Raw genomic sequence first — 17,614 nt, 5'->3', positions numbered from 1 at the left:
ACCTTTCCAGTCTCATAGAGTCCTCCCTGACCAGGTCCAGTGGCATCATCTCTCTCTATCCCATACTCTCACTTCCAACAGAGAGACTAATTTCCTGATATTAATTATTGATCACTATTCGCCATCCTCCCACACACCCTAATGCTGGGCTGTGCAGTGCCACAGCCACCAGCCACATGTGGCCACAGGGTGCTTGAAATGGGGCCAGTACAATTGACACCCACATACACAGGGAATTTCAAAGACTCAGTACACACACCCAAAATAAAATAACCTATGTTATTAATGATTCTTCTTATGTGTTGAAATAATATTTTGGATATATTAGGTTAAGTAAGAAATATTATAAACATTACCTTCACCTGTTTCTTTTTTACTTTTTGAAATGTGTCTCCCAGAAAGTTTTAAATTGCTCCTGGGTTCGTGTCACATTTCTGTCTGGCAGCAGCCCTGCAATGTAGTGTCCATGGCTCGGTCACCCAGGCTCCGTCTCTAGCTCCTAGACTACCTGGTGCAGGGGGAAGCTGGTGAAAAGTCTGTTTACTGAATAATGAGTTGTGAAAGGAGAACCCAGAGTTTTTTACTCAAATAAAGGTTAATTCTTCTGTTTGAAAAGTTCCCTAGCACAGGGCATGGCCTGAGTCTCCTGTGGCCTCTGGAATCACACCTCTGCCTTAGTGATTTCTAGACCTTGACCAAATGCTCACGGATACTCAGGACCTCTGAAGACTCCGGAAGGCCGAGACCTCTATCTTTCCCTTTTCTGAGGAAATGAAGCTAGGGGGTCGTATGCTTTTAGGGCCCAGGGGGCCTTGACACCTCTCTGGAGGGCAGGGTGACCTAAGCTTGGGAGGAGGGACAGGTCTTTGGGAAGAGATGGAGCTGAGGGGGTGGAGTGGGTAGAAGGGGGGCATAGGTGTGGAAGGGGTGGGGGAAGAGGGGCCAGGAGTGGGGTGAGAAGAGGGGAAAGAAGAGGATAGGAGGGACAGGGACAGGGAGAGGCCAGGAATGGGTAGGAAGGGAAGACAGAGGAGGGGCGGGACGAGGGAGGGGCGATGAAGAGGGGCCGAGCTGGGGTGGGGGCGAAGTGGGAGCAAGGACAGGAGTGGAGGAGGGAGATGAGGGGCATGGGAGGCGGTGTCTGGGGGTTGAAAGGGGAAAGGGACAGAGGAGAAGGAGCCTGAAGAGTGGCGGCATGGAGGGGCCCGAAGTGGGGAGGTGGGAATGGTCGGATGGATGGGGAGGAATGGGGAGGATAGGAGAGGCAGGGGAGGCTGGAAGACAGTAGGAGAGGAGGGGGAGGGGAGGGGAGGGGATGGATGGGAATGGATAGGGAAGGCCAGGGAGACTGGGGGGCCAGGGGAGGAGGGGAGGGAGAGGGGAGGCGGGAAGGGAGAGGAGAGGCCGGGAGGGGCTGGGAGGGGAGGGAAGGGGATGGATGGGGAAGGACAGGGAAGCCTGGAGGGGCAGGGGAGGCTGGGATGGGAGGAGACTGATAGGGAGGGACCTGGAGGCGGGGAGAGGCAGGGGAGGCGGGGAGAGGCAGGGGAGGCGGGGAGGGAGAAGGGAGGTGGGAGGGACGAGGCGTTCCGGAAAAGGGAGTGCAGGCCGCGGTGGGGTGGGGCGGCGAAGGCCGGAAGGGATAAAACCGCAGTCGCCGGCCTCGCGGGGCTCACGGCCTCGCCTCGGTATCGCAGCGGGTCCTCTCTATCTAGCTCCAGCCTCTCGCCTGCGCCCCACTCCCCGCGTCCCGCGTCCTAGCCGACCATGGCCGGGCCCCTGCGCGCCCCGCTGCTCCTGCTGGCCATCCTGGCCGTGGCCCTGGCCGTGAGCCCCGCGGCCGGCTCCAGTCCCGGCAAGCCGCCGCGCCTAGTGGGAGGCCCCATGGACGCCAGCGTGGAGGAGGAGGGTGTGCGGCGTGCACTGGACTTTGCCGTCGGCGAGTACAACAAAGCCAGCAACGACATGTACCACAGCCGCGCGCTGCAGGTGGTGCGCGCCCGCAAGCAGGTGCGTGCCGCCCCCCGCAGGGTCCGAAGCCCCGGCCCCGCCGTCCCAGCCTCCCCCCGCGCTGCTCCCGGACCCCGTGCTGCTCCTCTCCGGCGCCTGGGCTTCTCACCCGGACCCTGTTCCCGGTCTTCGCTGTCACCCCCGAGCCCTTGGCGGGCGTGTCCGGGAATGCCCTGAGTCTGGCCTGGCCTGGAACCGCACGGACACGTCAGGTCCGCGCCCGGCGCCTAAGATCAGCTTCCAGGAGCCAGCTCGAGCTGCGCCGCAGCGCGGGGGCAGGCACAGGACGTCCCACACAGCTCTGTCCCGACCTCCTGGGACGCTGGGCTCCGGGTGCGCTGCTGAATACGCAGGAGAAGGAAAAACAGAGCCCCTCATCTGGCTGCCTCCTTGTTCTTCCACCAAATAATTTTTAAGCACTTTTGTTTCTTTTAACTTTTTATTCTCCCGTAATTTCAGACTTACAGAGCAGCTGCAAAATAGCACAGGGCATCCCTGTAGATCTTTCACCCAGATCCCTCAGATGTTAGCACAGATGTTAACATTTTGCCCTGTTTGTTCCCCCCAGCTCACTTTCCGAATGTGAATATGGGTGTGTGTATATGTACTGTATATGCATTTTTTGCCTGAATCTTTTGAAAGTAAACACTTCAGTGTGTTTTTCCTAAAAACAAGGGCAATATCGCACATAATCACTATTCCATTTTGAAAATCAGCACTGACACATTCATGATCTAATGCTCAGACTCATTCAGCTTTCCCTGTCTGTTGACGGCCTTCGTGCCCTAGGACGCTCCTGGGCCATGAGTGCATGAGTTCAGCCCTGTCCTGTCCCCTCGGCCTCTTTTAACCTGCAGCAGCAGCTGGGTCTGTGCCACGACCGTGCCATTTCCCAGGGTCTAGCAGGTGTGGATGGAGACTATGCTGACTCTGGGTGGGCTTGATGCTGCTCAAGATGAGATCTAGGCCATGCGGCTCATCCTCCTCCCAGAATACTCTCCGCAGGGGCCACACGTGAGCCTGGCACCTTGTCCTGCAGAGCCCTGCTTCCCTCCCCAAGTCACACCCCTGGGCACAGTCCCCTAGGACTAGCGGCCTTCACCCTCAGGCCGGCTGACCACCCCCTACATCCCAGGGCAGCTGAGTCCCTGCTGGGGTGGAGCATGCCTGACCCTGCCTCTATCAGCTGATGCAGAGTTAGACCTCAGCCAGATGAAGACACCCAGCAGACCGGAGTAGGGGGTCGGATCGGGAGGGAGCTTCAGTAGGGCTACCAGGCCCAGCTTGACCTGCATCCCATGGCAGAGCAGCGAACAGTGACACAGACTTTAGAGCTCCTCCACCTTCTCTTGGAAATTCAGAGGAGTCCAGACCAGCCGCGTTTCTCCCGCAGCCGTCAGCTGGGGCCCTCTCCCTGCACAGGAGGGCCATTCCCTGGTGTAGGGTCCCCGCTGGCCTGCACCTCTCTCTCACTGGGAGTGAAGCATGGGGCATTGTAGATCGTTGGGCCCTGGAGCCTATTTTACAGAGGAGCAGACTGACACCAGAGGGATCACAGGCCTTGCTTGTGCTTCTACAGGACTTGTGTGTGGTTCCACAGGGCAAGGTCTAGCACCCTGGTCCCAGGGTCCCTCATCCCATGCTTCTCCACAGTTCTGACAAGTCATGTTTTGGGGCGGCACTGTGCAGGGAAAGCATTCAGTTCTCTTCTGAAGTTGCAACCCTAAGACATGCAGGTGTGTGACTCACTTTAGAAATATTGCCTTGAAAATCACACCTGGAATGGAAGCACGTGGGAAGCAATGTTTATTGGCCTAAAACATCAATGTATGTGAGCATCTCATCTCCTAGTGAGAAATGAGGAAAAATACCTCTGGGTTAAATGGCAGGAATGAGATGCTCTGTGGACTGAATGCCAGGAACTGGAAGTTTGCCGAAATTTCATCATCACATGAGAACCTTCCTAGAATAGATCCAGTGTCCCTGCCCCCTGGGTCATAGGTAGCGGAATTCAGTTAATCCTTGGCATTGGCATAGAGAAACAAGTTACCGGGGAGGCCTGGGGCATGGCATCCCTGCCAGCTGGCAGGAGGAGGTGGCTTGTGTGCCTTGCAGGTGACAATGTGGGCAGCTCATGAAGGTAGGCTTGAAGCCCCAGGCAAGCCCAGTGACCCGGTCACAGTGAAGTGCCTGTGTGTGTAAGAAACTGACAGAACGTGCTGTCCCTGCCTCCTGCTCTTTCACATGTGTAGATCGTAGCTGGGGTGAACTACTTCTTGGACGTGGAGCTGGGCCGAACCACGTGTACCAAGACCCAGCCCAACTTGGACAACTGCCCCTTCCATGACCAGCCACATCTGAAAAGGGTATGTGCCTTATATGGGTCCAGGGCCAGTCATACACTGCAGAGGGGTGTGTGTGTGTGTGTGTGTGTGTGATGCACATGTTCTGCAGGGTACGTGTGCATGTGCCTGAGTGTGTGTACACGTGGAGATGCATATGTGTTTCCAAGTATAGGTTTGTGTGGGGAAGTGCACGTGAGTGTGTGCAAGTGGGTGTGTGGATGTGTTGGGGAAGTGTGGGGGTTTATGCATGGATAGGTGTGGGTGTGTGAGTATATGTGTGTGCACATATGTGTGGGGGTGTCTGTGCACATACATTCACATACATGGGGGTTTCTGTGAACATACATGCTGTATTATGAGGAATTACCTGCCCTGTGTGTGTGTGTGCATGTGGGTAGATAGATGTATGAGGGAGTATGTGGATTCATGCATAGATCCGTATGGGTGAAGGTTAGGGTGAGTTCATGTAGATGCCTATGTGTGTGCATGTAGACGGGGTGGTGTGGAGAGGAGTGATGAATTTGATTTGCTAAGAGGGCTTTAGCTTGGGATTGGGGTACTGGGAGCTCCACCCTATGTGCTTTGGAGTGTTGCCTACTGGACTGCAGGAAGCAGCTGCAGGGCTGGGTGCTGGGCAGGGAGAAAGGGCTCTGTCTAATCCCAGCCTTAGGCACCTGCCCACAGCCACGGCCATGCTGAGCAGATTAGAGGGTAGTAGAGGCCTGTTAGCAGCCAAACCCTCAGACCTGCCCCAGCTCACCCAACACCAGCTTCTCCAAGGACCCAGGATTTCTTGTGACGTCTCTGCTCAGGGGAGAGCCACACTCTCCTTGTCATCTCCTCACCACCCCATGTGCTATGACTTGGAATTTCCAGTTCCCTGGGTTCTTCCCTCTCGCCCTTCATAGTGCTGGCCTGAGGGCTGGAGGTGGAAGGAGCTGGGGGCAGTGAGCTGCCTCCCCCTGCCCTGTACCCTTAGGGCTCCCGAGGCCTTGCACAGGCTGCTCCTCACAGGGCTGTGCTGGGGCAGGAATCCTGCAGGCTGGGGTGGGGGCCCAGTGCCACCAGGTAGAGTTGGAGCCCTGGGAGAGGGATGGAGCAGTCACTGCCCAGTCCAGCGGTGCTCTGGGATCAGCGGGGGTGGGTGGAGGGGTAGATAAGGGCCCAGTGTTTCACCTCCATCCTTCTTCACTCCCACTCTGATGTCCCGTGCCTGGGCATCTTCTGCTTTGAACTGTAACCCACACTGATTGTCCCCTCTGTTTCCTTTCACAGAAAGCATTCTGCTCTTTCCAGATCTACGCTGTGCCTTGGCAGGGCACAATGACCTTGTCGAAATCCACCTGTCAGGACGCCTAGGGGTCTGTACCGGGCTGGCCTGTGCCTATCACCTCTTATGCACACCTCCCACCCCCTGTATTCCCACCCCTGGACTGGTGGCCCCTGCCTTGGGGAAGGTCTCCCCATGTGCCTGCACCAGGAGACAGACAGAGAAGGCAGCAGGCGGCCTTTGTTGCTCAGCAAGGGGCTCTGCCCTCCCTCCTTCCTTCTTGCTTCTCATAGCCCCGGTGTGCGGTGCATACACCCCCACCTCCTGCAATAAAATAGTAGCATCGGCTCCCTCTGAGTTCTTGGCTGTCTGGGGATGTGCACACAGGCAGGGTTTCCGCAGTTCCTTTATGAAGCCTCCTTGTCCTGCTGGTGTGAAGATGAGAGGAGTACCTGGGAGCTGACGCGGCCACAGCAAGGCCATCAGGCAAGCTGCTGCTATAGGAGTCCTGAGTCTCAGAGCAGGGAGAGCAGCCAGGGGCTGGGAAACAAGGCATTGAGCCACAGCAGCCCCTGGTGAGGGGGTCAGGGAGAGGAGGGGCCCAAGCTGCTGCCCCCAGAAGCTGGGCTGGTGATTTGGTCTGAGCTGCTGGTCAGACCAGGAGGAGGGAGCTGGCTGTGTCCATAGACAGGGGCCAGGCCTCGGTGGAGCTCGCCAGGTCATAGATTCCATCTGTGCTTGCAGAGTTGAGCAGACCCCAGGGACTGAGCTGCTCTCATCAAATCCCCTAGACACTAAATAGTGATCAATGCGTGCTTCTTTCCAAGAGACTTAGGCCCCTACGTGGAAACAAAGTCCAAAAAGCCTGTCTGTGTAACTGAGCAGGAGAAACGCCAGCCAGACCAGAGACCAGCAAGATCACAGAGAAAGTGGCACCTGCTGTCATCCATCCTGGGAGGCTGTGTCCTCCCAGAGTTTTACAGGCTCATAGCCACCAGCCCTTTCTCTGGACTTGGATTTAAAACAAGTTGTTAGTCCAGCTTCATGGTAGGGATGAAGTTAAAGCACAAATGAGACCGACAATGCAGTGGACTCTTCTTTTTCCAAGGAGGATTAAGAGAGAACATTCCCTTCATGTCAGCATTATCCTATAGAATAGTGGATCTTTGTGCCACAAGCAGGAGGCTACAGTCCTAAGACACAGCCCACCCTGCACAGTCCTTCCCTTTGCCATTTTAGGACAGGGGTGCAGCCCTTACAGCCAGTGCTGCTGGGGCAGGCCTCCCAGGTACCTTCCAACCTCGGAGCTGCACTGACCCCCTCTTTTGGCTGCTGCCATGAACACTGAAGGTGAAATGATGAAGGAAAATCCACCCCAGTAGCGCCAAGGCCAGCACCCCACATGCTGTCCCTGCAAAGTCAGAGCAGGGGACACGGCAGGGAGAGTGGGGAGCGTCTGCTTCCTTTTCCTCTCCACCCTGACTTGCTTTAACAGGGTCTTTGGGGTGAGGGAAGTGTAGCACCCCCTAGGATGCCATGAGCTGAGGAGATTTGAGTCTGGGCCTCACCCTGCTGGGGGTGGGTGGTCTTAGTCACTCAGTTTTCTGTGGGGGGTTGGGGGATAGAAGTGGTGGTTGTGGTCAGTGGTAAAGGGTCCCTGCAGGGAGGTGCTCCTGGTTTTCTACCTCGGTGAAGGATCTTTGACACAGGCAACCTCCATCCAGGCACCCAGTGGAAACGGACAGCTGACCATATAGCCCAGTGCCTTTTCTGACACACTTCTTCCTTGGGGAAGTTGAGGTTGGGGGCGGGCTGTGCACAGGGCTCCCCAGCCTCCCTGTGTGTCTGCTTCCTTCCCTGCCCTCCGCCCGGTGGCCCCATGGCCCACAGCCCACAGGGAAGCAGGTTGGTGCCACCCCTGCCTCCCCTCCGCAGCCGGCGGGCCTGTAAATGCCTCCCTTGGGCCCCCATGAGGCCAGTGAGCCAGAAGCCCCTCTGACCCAGAGGTCACTGTGACCAGCACATCCTGGAGAGGAGGCCTCGCCCTTGCACCTTTCATCTGCAAGAGTTACTTTTACATTTATTTTAAATGTTGATTTAAGTATATACTTCATCTACAGTTATCCATATAAATAGATTCATTACAGGGCCTGGCTCTGAATAAACACAGTAAGTTGGAGAGGCTTTTTCATTGATCTGGTTCTACACTGGTGGCTTTATAACATAGTGCTTTGACACCTCTTGCATTGTGTTGCTGGTGACCATTGGGGTGGGATCAGGAAGGGCCCAGTAGCTTCTGAGCTCCCTAGCATTCTTGTCCTGAAGGAAGCCAGCCTTTGCAGAAGGATCCCTCTCCCCAGGACGGTCAGGCTGGCGGGGTGTTCCTCGATGGCAAGCCTGCAGACACCTACCCTCAAAGGCCCAGGGAGCTGAGAGGCCGAAGAGAGGCTGACAAGTCTAGTTTCTTAGAAAGAAAGTTGTAATAGGGACCTGGGAACAGAAGCCGTGTCCTGCGTGGCTGCAAGACAGTGGATCGCCACCCCATTACCCCCAGACCCTGGGCTTCTGTGCCATAGGGGAAAAGGTATAGGAGCTTCAGAAGGAATTTACCTAAGGGCTGGATTTACAGTAAACAGCAGATGAAATAGAAATCTTAGAAGCATTGATGGGACTGAGGCTCAGCATTGGCATCCAAGATGGAGTCTCCACAGGAGACCGCCCAGAGCCGCTCCAGCTGACACCCACAGCAGATTTCCATAACCATAGGTCAGTTTCAGGATCTCAGTCCTAAATCTGGCTTGTTCTTTTCCATTTTTTTAATTACTCCATTTTAAATATAATATTTTTGTATCTTTTAGGTAATATTTTTATATCTTTATTCTTTATTCCCCCAAAATTTTGTTTTCTAAATGTATTTCTTCCTCCAAATGAAACTGTTTTTTCAGGTTCAATAAGTAGAAATATTATGTTTTTTTAGGAAAAAAAATTGACAACGTTTAACATTTGAGCCTTTCATTTTAGAATACCATGCATCTTGCAATACCTTCCTGCTTTTCTGATGGTATTCAGTAGAATAAATTTTATGCATCTTTCATATTTTCTGTGAAATTTATTCCTGGATATTTTATATTTTGGTCAGGGATATTTCCAAGTATTGTACCTCTAGTCTTTACTGATAGACTAGTTAATAGTTCAATAGAAGACTATTGAGTTTGCCTTTTTTTTTTTTTTTAACTCTGCCTTGGTGGTTTATTATTTATGGACTTAGAGGCTTGGGATGTTGCCACCCATGTGGCTGTGAGAGACAGAGGAGAGCTGGCTTATGATTGGCTGACGGGAGTGACCTTGGACTAGGCCACAAGCCTCCCTAAAAGATGTAGAGAGAGCAAATCGCCAGCCCTGTCCCATAACTCCAGGGCGAAGCTGGAGAGACGAGGCCCAGGAAGACAGCAGCTAGTCACCCCTTCCTCTCCTTATGCTCTGCTGTGCTGTCTGAGTTCACTGCTCAAAGACACAACACTGAGAAGCCATGAACACAATGGTGACTAAAATAGGGAACAGACATTCCTTTAATTACCCATACCTGCTCTCACCCTTGGTGCTGGGATGCCAAGTGGGTCACTTCCAAATCCTGTCACCTGAGGCTTATGGGGTCGAGTCAGATGTGCTCAGGCCACTGTGACATCAGCTGGGGCTCTGGCTCCCTTGAGACCAGGTCAGGCTCATCTGAACTCTAGTCTCAAGCTTGGCTGTACATGGCGTCACTGGGGAGCCTGGCTGCACATGGCAATCCCATGATCCCAGTCGGAAAAGTTGATCGTGTTCTGGGATGGGACGTGGACATTGGATGTTTAAATACTCCTCCCATTGCTTCCCCAAGGAACCACTGGACTATAACTCAATTAGAGTCCTGGTCAAAGTCCAGTTGCTCCTAAAACATCTGCAAATTGCAGCAGGTAAAGATAGTCTCATGGTCACATCTGCCTGTGGACACACTTTCCGTGCCAGGTATCTCTGCAAACGTGTAGCCCTTGATTTCCAGTAAATGAAACTCAACAAAGCAAAAGCAAACGGAAATTCCTTCCACCAAAGCTTTGTTTGGGGCAATGAAATTTGTCGGTGATTTCAGGAAATCACCTCCTGCCCTGTGGAACAGTAACCCCCACTTCCTCAAACCCAGCACTGGGTATTTCTGTCCTTGAAATGCCCTTGGCTTCCCTCCCAAAGGTAGTTGCCACTTGACCTTCACATTCCACCCCCTCCCCCCCCCACCAGTCACTGGCCTGATTGTTCCCCTGCCTGCTCTTCGCCGTGGCATTCCCCATCTGTCCACGCATCCTCTCCACTGAGTCCCTCAGCAAGTCCAAAGGCTCCTTTGTGGGGTAGAACCACTCAGCTCTTTGTAGACTTCCCCACACCCATCAAGGTGCTTATAAACCAAAGGCCTTCCTAGTGAACAGGACCACCTTCTTTGTGAGGGACTTGAGATCACTAATAGCAACAGTTATTTATTTATCTATTTATTTTACCCAAATCCAGGACCCTGATGAAAAGACTGAGGAAAATGCTGCCTTTCCTGAATGGCTACCAGGCAGGGAATGATGCTGGGAAGTGTTTACCCCACAGGCTCTGTGCCTTCTCTGACTGGGCAGCTCATGCTGTATGCATGGAGGCATCATTACCAAACACACCTCTGAGGCCAGCGGCCAGCGTCTGACTCACAAGCCATGACTGCCCCACCTTCTTACAACAACAATAGCAGTTTCCCCGTGAGGATTCACCCCTCCTCCCCTCTCACTCCGCCTTTTTCCAGGGAAGCTGACTCTACCCTTTGGACCACAGCTTGGAGCACTTGACCCTGGCTAAGCTGGTCAGGGCAGCGGGTCTCCCTCCCCTGAAGCCTCATGATTGGCATGAGGACAACACGTGACCTATGTGTGGCTGCCCAGGACCCACATAGGCTTAACGGTGGGATTTTGTTTGACTGTGTGATAAGTGGGTTCTTCCTTCCCTGCTGAGTGTGAAGATAAAAAAGACTTGAGGTCTGGGGCCCACTTGGAGCCTGTTTGAGAATGAAGCCAAGTTATGGGAAGCAACAAAACTGAAGAGACAGCAAGGAAACCAGGCCTGGTGGTGCACTCCCAGCTATTCTGGAGGCTGACGCGGGAGGACTGCGTGAGCTCAGCAGTTTGAGGCTGCAATGAGCCATGATTTCACTACTGAACTCCAGCCTGGGCAAAAGAGCGAGACCCTGTGTCTCAGAAAAAGAGAGAGAGAAACAGAGAGCAAGGAGCAGGTGGGTTATAATGGAGTCCCTGCACCAAGCAGAGCCTGATGCCCGCCCTTGCTCTGAACTTCCTAGTTATGTGAACCAACCACCAGGCCAGTTGGGTTGGGTTTCCAGCCCTGTGCTCTTGTCTGTCCTCACTGACAGACAAAAATAACTCATCAGTCGGTTCTCAGACCCACAGTCCCATGACATTTCTTGACTGTTTCAGAAGTAATGCCTCAAGGACCAGCTTGCAGAAAGTGGAGGACCTGCCCCCTGGACCTTACAAGTAGCAGGCCACTCTTAAAAATGCAAGGACCACAGATGTCACCATGACTGAAAAATAGAGGCTGGCCCTGCCTCTGAAGATGCTGCAATGGACTTGTGTTCAAGGAGAAATTGGCTGTAACTTCCCTTATTGAGATATAATCGGGCTCATCGTTAAGCTGTGGTCAGCCAGAAGTGTAGCTGTGCCCCTGGGATTGAAATCAGCAATCAATCTGGACATCCTTTTTCTATCTTCATGAGGCACCTCCCCAGTACCAACCAAATTTCTTGGGGATCCCCCGGGACTTCTCATAAATGGAATTGATTTGAACTCAGGAAACCCTCAAATAGGCCAGAACAACTCACTAATTAAATTCATCCCCTCCCAAAAACAAAAACAAAAACAAAAAAAAACAACACACATGATAGGAAAAAAATTTTGCAAATTATATATCTGATATAGAACTTGTATTCAGAACATATAATGAACTCTTACAACTCAATAAGACTGGTAACCCAATTAAAAATTCTTTTTAAAAAAACCAATTTAAAAATAAAGGCAAATAACCTAATTTTTATATAACTCAAAGTTTTTAAAGAAACAAACCAATTTAAAAGTTCCAAAGGATTTGAATAAACGTTTTTCCAAAGAAGATATGTAAATAGCCAATAAACGCATAAAAACGTGCATAACACCATTAGCTATTAGGAAAAGGCAAATCAAAACCACAGTAAAAAGCAGCTTCAAAGCCACTACATGGTTGTGGTCAAAGAGACCACAAATAACAAATTGGAATCTTTATACATAGCTGGTGGGAATGTAAAATGGTGCAGCTGCTTTGGAAAACAGTTTCACAAGTTTTCAAAAGGTTAGACCTACCATATAACCTAGCAACTCTACTCATATTTATATGTCAGCTACAAATAAAAACATTAAGTTCACCAAAATATTTACACATGAAAGTTCATAGCATCATTATTAAAATCAGAAAAAAATATATTAAAAAAAACCTCAAATGTCCATCAACTGACGAATGGATAATCAAGATATAGTGTTAGTCTATTCATACAATGGAAAATGAACGGGCATAAAAGAGAATGACATGACCCGTGCTACAATGTGGAGCAATCTTGAAAATGTGCTAAGTGAAAGAAGCCAGCAAGCCATGCTGAAACAAGTCAGCATTCATACAATATGATTCAATTTATATGAAATACCCAGAACAGAAAAATGTATAGAGACAGGCTGTAGATTAGTGGTTGTCTAGGGCTGGGGGCAATAGAAGGCAGAGTGACTGCTAATAGGAAGTTTCCTTGGAGGGATCATGAAAATGTTCTAAAATCAGATTATACGTCCATTTGCACAATTTTGTGAATATACTCGGAACCACTGAATTGTATACTTTAAGTGGGTGAGGTATGTGAAAATTAAATGTCAGTAAAGCTGTTTAAAAAAGTTTCATCCCAAAGCTACATTTTACCTAAGGCAAATGTTTACTACCGCTTCTCTTTCAGTCCCAAATAATTTCCAGCCATATGTTCCAGTCAAGCCTCGACAAAATTAAACAACACCACAACTTACTCCAGTTACAAGCCAATGTGCAAATGCCCCAAACTTGACCATAAATTTACCACCCAACCCCCATCGTCTCATTCCCAGGAAAAACTAAACACAAGATCAACTCCCCTTGCAAGTTGAAGTCCTGACATTGAAGTCTAAAGAAATCACAGCCCACAATAAAATTCTTAAAGTGTACAAACAATTCTTCTCAAATTCTTATTTGGCTCAGTCTCAGGCTCTCAGCCACTGAGATCCCCCAGCCTTAGTGCATGCGTGACAGGTGACAGTGCAGTGCCTGTAGCCCATTTCTCACAGTGATTGGATGTATTTTTTAAAGGTAGAGAATCCCAAAGTGCAGTTCCTGGACCAGCAGCAGCAGCACCACCAGAGATCTTGTAAGAGATGCAAGTTCTTAGGCCACACCCCAGCCTGTTGAATTAGAAACCCTGGGGCGTGGCCCAAGAATGTGTGTTCACAAGCTGTGAGACAAAGTAGTAAACATGAGAAGCAGTGTGTGCTCATGCCTACTTGCAGTGAAATTTTGGAAAGTCCTTGATTCTTTCCTTGTGTTCAAGCCCCACTCCTTTCCTCTTCTTACGCAGTCACTGCATTTTGCCCAAGGGATACCCTAAGGAAGGATATAAATCAGTCACTTCCAGTCTGCTCAAGTCATGTGATGTTGAACAGGTCTTGTTTATTCTCTCACCCTGAGTGGGATAACTGTTTTCCATCAGAATGAGCACTGACCTGAGACACCGGTGACTGACTCCCCTTTGGTAGGTCCCACCTCTGCTCATCCTCTCTTATTTTCCTTGAGTTTATCAAGCACGTCCTCTTGAAGCTGAATCAAACCTGTATCTTCACCTACAGTGTCCGCATCACCTGAGAAACCACCAGTGGAGCTTCGATGATTTCACGTTGGTGAAGTTGGTCAGAAGACCTGGCCCAGTTGCTAAGACTGTGGTCCTCATTCCTGGGGGCACAGAATGAGGCTGGATAAGGAAGGTTAGGGGGCCATACTGGCTCATCCGCTTGTGTGAAGCCCTGTGGGCTCACTTCTCAGTGGGCTCCTTTCACTTGCATCCTTACGTGTCAGCATCTAACTCTTTTGCAAGGTAAGCAGTCCTACACGGTACCAGCCAACCGCCAGAGTCTTAAGTTCCTGATACTCAACGCAGCTGGGAAAGAGAACAAAAGCCCCTTGTTCATGAAGTAGCTTCCCTAATCTCCAGCCAATCAGCTCCAAAGCCCAAGAAGATATTAGCTACAAATTCCTACTTTGAGGGGAGTGGAGGGCTAAGAACTTCTCTGGGGTCCCACCTATGCAAGTAGGCTGAAGGTTTGGCTTATAGTGTCATTTCCCTCATCTTAATAGTAAAAAACACATTCCTAGGTGGAGATTTTATGTGCTGATGATGCACGTGATGCATGTTAGAGCACATAGATGCTGAGTGCATGTGTCAACCGCAAGTCCACCTTTGCATACTTGACCTCACCAGTATTTTATGAATGTGAATGAACAGCTCCCATAAAGGGAATTTCCCTTACGGCACTAGCTGCTGTTTCTTCTGAGCAGCCCCCTCTGCCTCTCAGAATGTAGCTGTTGCTTTGCAACAGACTTCTTTGCCTACTGTTACTTTGGACTTGCTCTCAAATTATTTTGTGTGGCGAAGTCAAGAACCTGAACCAACAACTATAAGAATCACCTGGATGCATTGAATGGATGCTGGTTCACAAGCCCCATCCAGACAACTAAAGTCACACGCCGCAGGTGATTCTAACAGTTGTAGGAAGCAAACCTTCAACTGTTCTTACTGGGAGTCCTCTTTGTGCAGACCTAAGAGGCTCCCCGCAGATGCCAGTAGCTCCCTGGATCCTACCTGCACCCCACCAACCCCCCGAGGTGTCATTCTGGCCTGTCCTCTGAGACCACTCTACTCTCCATCAGTGAGATGCCTTTGGCCCCATTCACTCTTTCTTTGTTTCTTTGTTTCTTTCTTTGTTTCTTTCTTTCTTTCTTTCTTTCTTTCTTTCTTTCTTTCTTTCTTTCTTTCTTTCTTTCTTTCTTTTTCTTTCCTTCTTTCTTTCTCTTTCTTTCTTTCGTTCTTTCATTCTTCCTTTTTTAGGCATAAGAATTTTGTTTTGTTTGTTTTTATTTGTACAAATTTATGGGGCACATGTGAAATTTTGTTGCATTTATATAAATGCATAGTGATTAGGTCAGACTGTTTAGGGAGTCCATCACCAGAATACAATACATTTTTGTTTAACTATAGTCACCCTACTCTGCTATCAAACATCAGATGTGTTTCTTCTATCTAACTGTACATTTGTACCCTGTAACCCACTTCTCTTCATCCTCCCCCTTCAGTGACTCACCCTTCCCAGTCTCTGGTATCTATCTTTCCACTCTCTGCTTCCATGTGATCAGACTTTTTAGCTCCCACATATAAGTGAGAACATGCGGTATTTGTCTTTTTGTGTCTGGCTAATTTCACTTTAGATAGTCCCAGTCAGTGTTTTCTAATTCAGCAATAGCTCACGTGTCTCTCACTTTTTCAGTGGCCCCTGCAAGAGAAATTGAATCAAGGTTCGTCCTCATCTCCCTCTCTGCCAGCCTTCAGAACCACATTGTGCTTTGTATCAAATTGGTCCCAGTCCTTAAGTTCATAGGGAAGTCTGTCTCTTCTTGCTGAATTAGTCAGTGTATTGATATGGTTTGGCTGTGTCCACACTCAAATCTCATCTTGAATTGTAATCTCCATAATCCCCGTGTTGAGGGAGGGACCTGGTGGGAGGTGATTGGACCATGGGTGCAGTTTTCCCCATGCTATCTTTATGATGGTGAGTTCTCATGCAATCTAATGGTTTTGTAAATGTTTGACAGTTTCTTCTTTACATACACTGTCTCCTGCTGCTGTGTGAAGAACATCCTTGCTTCCCCTTCACCTTCTGCCATGGTCATAAGTTTCTTGAGGCTTCCTCAGCCACGTGGAACTGTGAGTCAATTAAAACTCTTTCCTTTATAAATTACCCAGTCTCAGGTATTTCTTTATAGCAGTGTGAGAACAGACTAATACATGTATCAACTTGGTTTCTCCAGAGAAACAGAGCCAACAGGATATATATACGCACACACATCTATATATATATAAAGAGATTGTACCAATAGGATATATATTATGTGCACATAAATATACAATTATACATATATAACATGAAATGTATACATATATATTATGTACATATATTAAGATATATTTATATTTATTAAGAGAATGTGTGTGTGTGTGTGTATATATATATATATATATACACACACATATATATGTAAAAAGATTTATTTTAAGGAATCTGTTTATGTGATTGTGGGGCCTGGCAAGTCCAGGATTTGTCAGGCAGGCAGGATATGTTACAGTCTAAAACAGACTTCATTCTTCTTCTGGAAATCTCAGTTTTTGCCCTTAAGTCCTTCAACTAATTGAATGGAGTCCAGCCACATTATCTAAGGTTATTTTCTTCACTGAAAATCAACCGATTGTACATGTTAACAATATCTACAAAACACCCTCATGACAACACACAGATTGGTGCTTCACCAAACAACTGGCACCATGGCCTAGCCAAGTTGGCACAAAAAATTTAGCCATCACAGCTGGTTTTCCTCTCTCGTTTTTACTTTTTCTCTGTTCCTGTTTTGAAAGTGAAACTGAAGCATGTTTTCCAAAATGCTCTCGTTCCTGCTTAATTTCCCAAGCAAATATGATTCATGGGAACAGAATGTCCAAAGCACGGGCCCTTCCATTCATCTTCCCAGCCTTTAGCTTTTCAGTGATACCACTGGGATGAGAATAAATTCTCTTCATAAGAAAAGCAGGGTATGGGCAATGGAGCTCAAAGCCTCTGTGGCTGCAGTCCTTTGCTCTCATCTCCCTGGCCAGAGATGACTCACTCGGCCACACCCAGCTGCCAAGAGGCTGGGAACTGGTCTCCTGGGGGATGATACTGGGCAAAATCACAGCTCAGTAGTGCTATTGTTAAAGAAAGGAGAGGGAGCAGATGGGCCCAACTTTTATTCACATAAGTAAAAATATGAGAGTGTCTCTGCTTTCTATAGTCTGTAAGTTATACTTCATTGTCCATGAAACGAAACAGAACTGACGTTATGTGAATGCAAAATGCATTTCCACTTTTTATTAAAAAGTCCAAAAAAAAAAAAAAACAGATACTGCTGAGAATGCAGAGAAGTAGGAATGCTTTTACACTGTTGGTGGAAATGTAAATTAGTTCAATGACTGTGGAAGACAGAGTGGTGATTCCTCAAAGATTTAGAACCAGAAATACCGTTTGACTCAGCAATCCCATTACTGGTTATATACCCAAAGGAATATAAATCATTCTATTATAAAGATACATGCACTCATATGTTCATTGTGGCACAATAGCAAAGACATGGAATCAACCCAAATGCCCATCAATGATAGATTGGATAAAGAATGGTACATATACACGATGGAATACTGTGCAGCCATAAAAAGGAATGAGATCATGTCCTTTGCAGAGACATGGGTGAAGCTGGAAGCCATTCTCCTCAGCAAACTAATGCAGGAACAGAAAACCAAACACCACATATTCTCACTTATAAGTGGGAGCTGAATAATGAGAACACATGGACACAGGGAGGGTAACAACACACACTGGGGCCAGTTGGGGGAAGGTGGGATGGGGAGAGCATTAGGGAAAAGAGCTGATGCATGCTGGGCTTAATACCTAGGTAATGGGTTGTCAGGTGCAGCAAACCACCATGACACATGTTTACCTATGTAACAAATCTGCACATACCTGTACCCTGGAACTTAAAAAATAATAATAAAATAATTTTTAAAAAAGAA

The 17,614-nt window shown here is 49.0% G+C and overlaps 1 protein-coding gene across 2 annotated transcripts, besides 3 other annotated features; it reads left to right on the top strand.

The window, feature by feature from the left end:
* Positions 1,521-1,860: a silencer, noted in NCBI's record as "silent region_12734". NCBI's record gives its function as "represses an Ori minimal core promoter by ATAC-STARR-seq in GM12878 lymphoblastoid cells {active_cell/tissue: GM12878}" and the evidence as "EXISTENCE:reporter gene assay evidence [ECO:0000049][PMID:35858748]".
* Positions 1,675-12,924, top strand: CST3 (cystatin C). Of its 2 annotated transcripts, NM_001288614.2 has the most exons (4): positions 1,675-2,010; positions 4,263-4,376; positions 5,631-5,716; positions 10,165-12,924. In NM_001288614.2, the coding sequence occupies exons 1-3, from the start codon at positions 1,768-1,770 to the stop codon at positions 5,712-5,714; spliced, it is 441 nt and encodes a 146-aa protein (NP_001275543.1). In that variant the 5' UTR covers positions 1,675-1,767; the 3' UTR covers positions 5,715-5,716; positions 10,165-12,924. The 2 variants fall into 2 exon arrangements, with proteins under 2 accessions (NP_001275543.1, NP_000090.1); NM_000099.4 differs by lacking the exon at positions 10,165-12,924 and having other exon boundaries at positions 5,631-5,973.
* Positions 1,891-2,140: a silencer, noted in NCBI's record as "silent region_12733". NCBI's record gives its function as "represses an Ori minimal core promoter by ATAC-STARR-seq in GM12878 lymphoblastoid cells {active_cell/tissue: GM12878}" and the evidence as "EXISTENCE:reporter gene assay evidence [ECO:0000049][PMID:35858748]".
* Positions 16,619-16,829: a silencer, noted in NCBI's record as "fragment chr20:23603438-23603648 (GRCh37/hg19 assembly coordinates)". NCBI's record gives its function as "represses an EF-1alpha promoter that drives an FKBP-Casp9 reporter gene in an ReSE screen in HepG2 liver carcinoma cells {active_cell/tissue: HepG2}" and the evidence as "EXISTENCE:reporter gene assay evidence [ECO:0000049][PMID:32094911]".

This window comes from Homo sapiens, chromosome 20 (genome assembly GCF_000001405.40).
Source record: "Homo sapiens chromosome 20, GRCh38.p14 Primary Assembly".
In the NCBI taxonomy this organism is placed as follows: domain Eukaryota; kingdom Metazoa; phylum Chordata; class Mammalia; order Primates; family Hominidae; genus Homo; species Homo sapiens.
The sequence above is the reverse complement of the archived record's forward strand: the minus strand, read 5'-3'. Positions and strand labels throughout refer to the sequence as shown.

Coding starts and splice junctions, on each gene's coding strand:
- CST3 (NM_001288614.2), top strand. CDS start 1,768: ATGGCCGGGCCCCTGCGCGCCCCGCTGCTCCTGCTGGCCATCCTGGCC. Junction 2,011..4,262: donor TGGTGCGCGCCCGCAAGCAG/GTGCGTGCCGCC, acceptor TCACATGTGTAG/ATCGTAGCTGGGGTGAACTA. Junction 4,377..5,630: donor ACCAGCCACATCTGAAAAGG/GTATGTGCCTTA, acceptor TTCCTTTCACAG/AAAGCATTCTGCTCTTTCCA.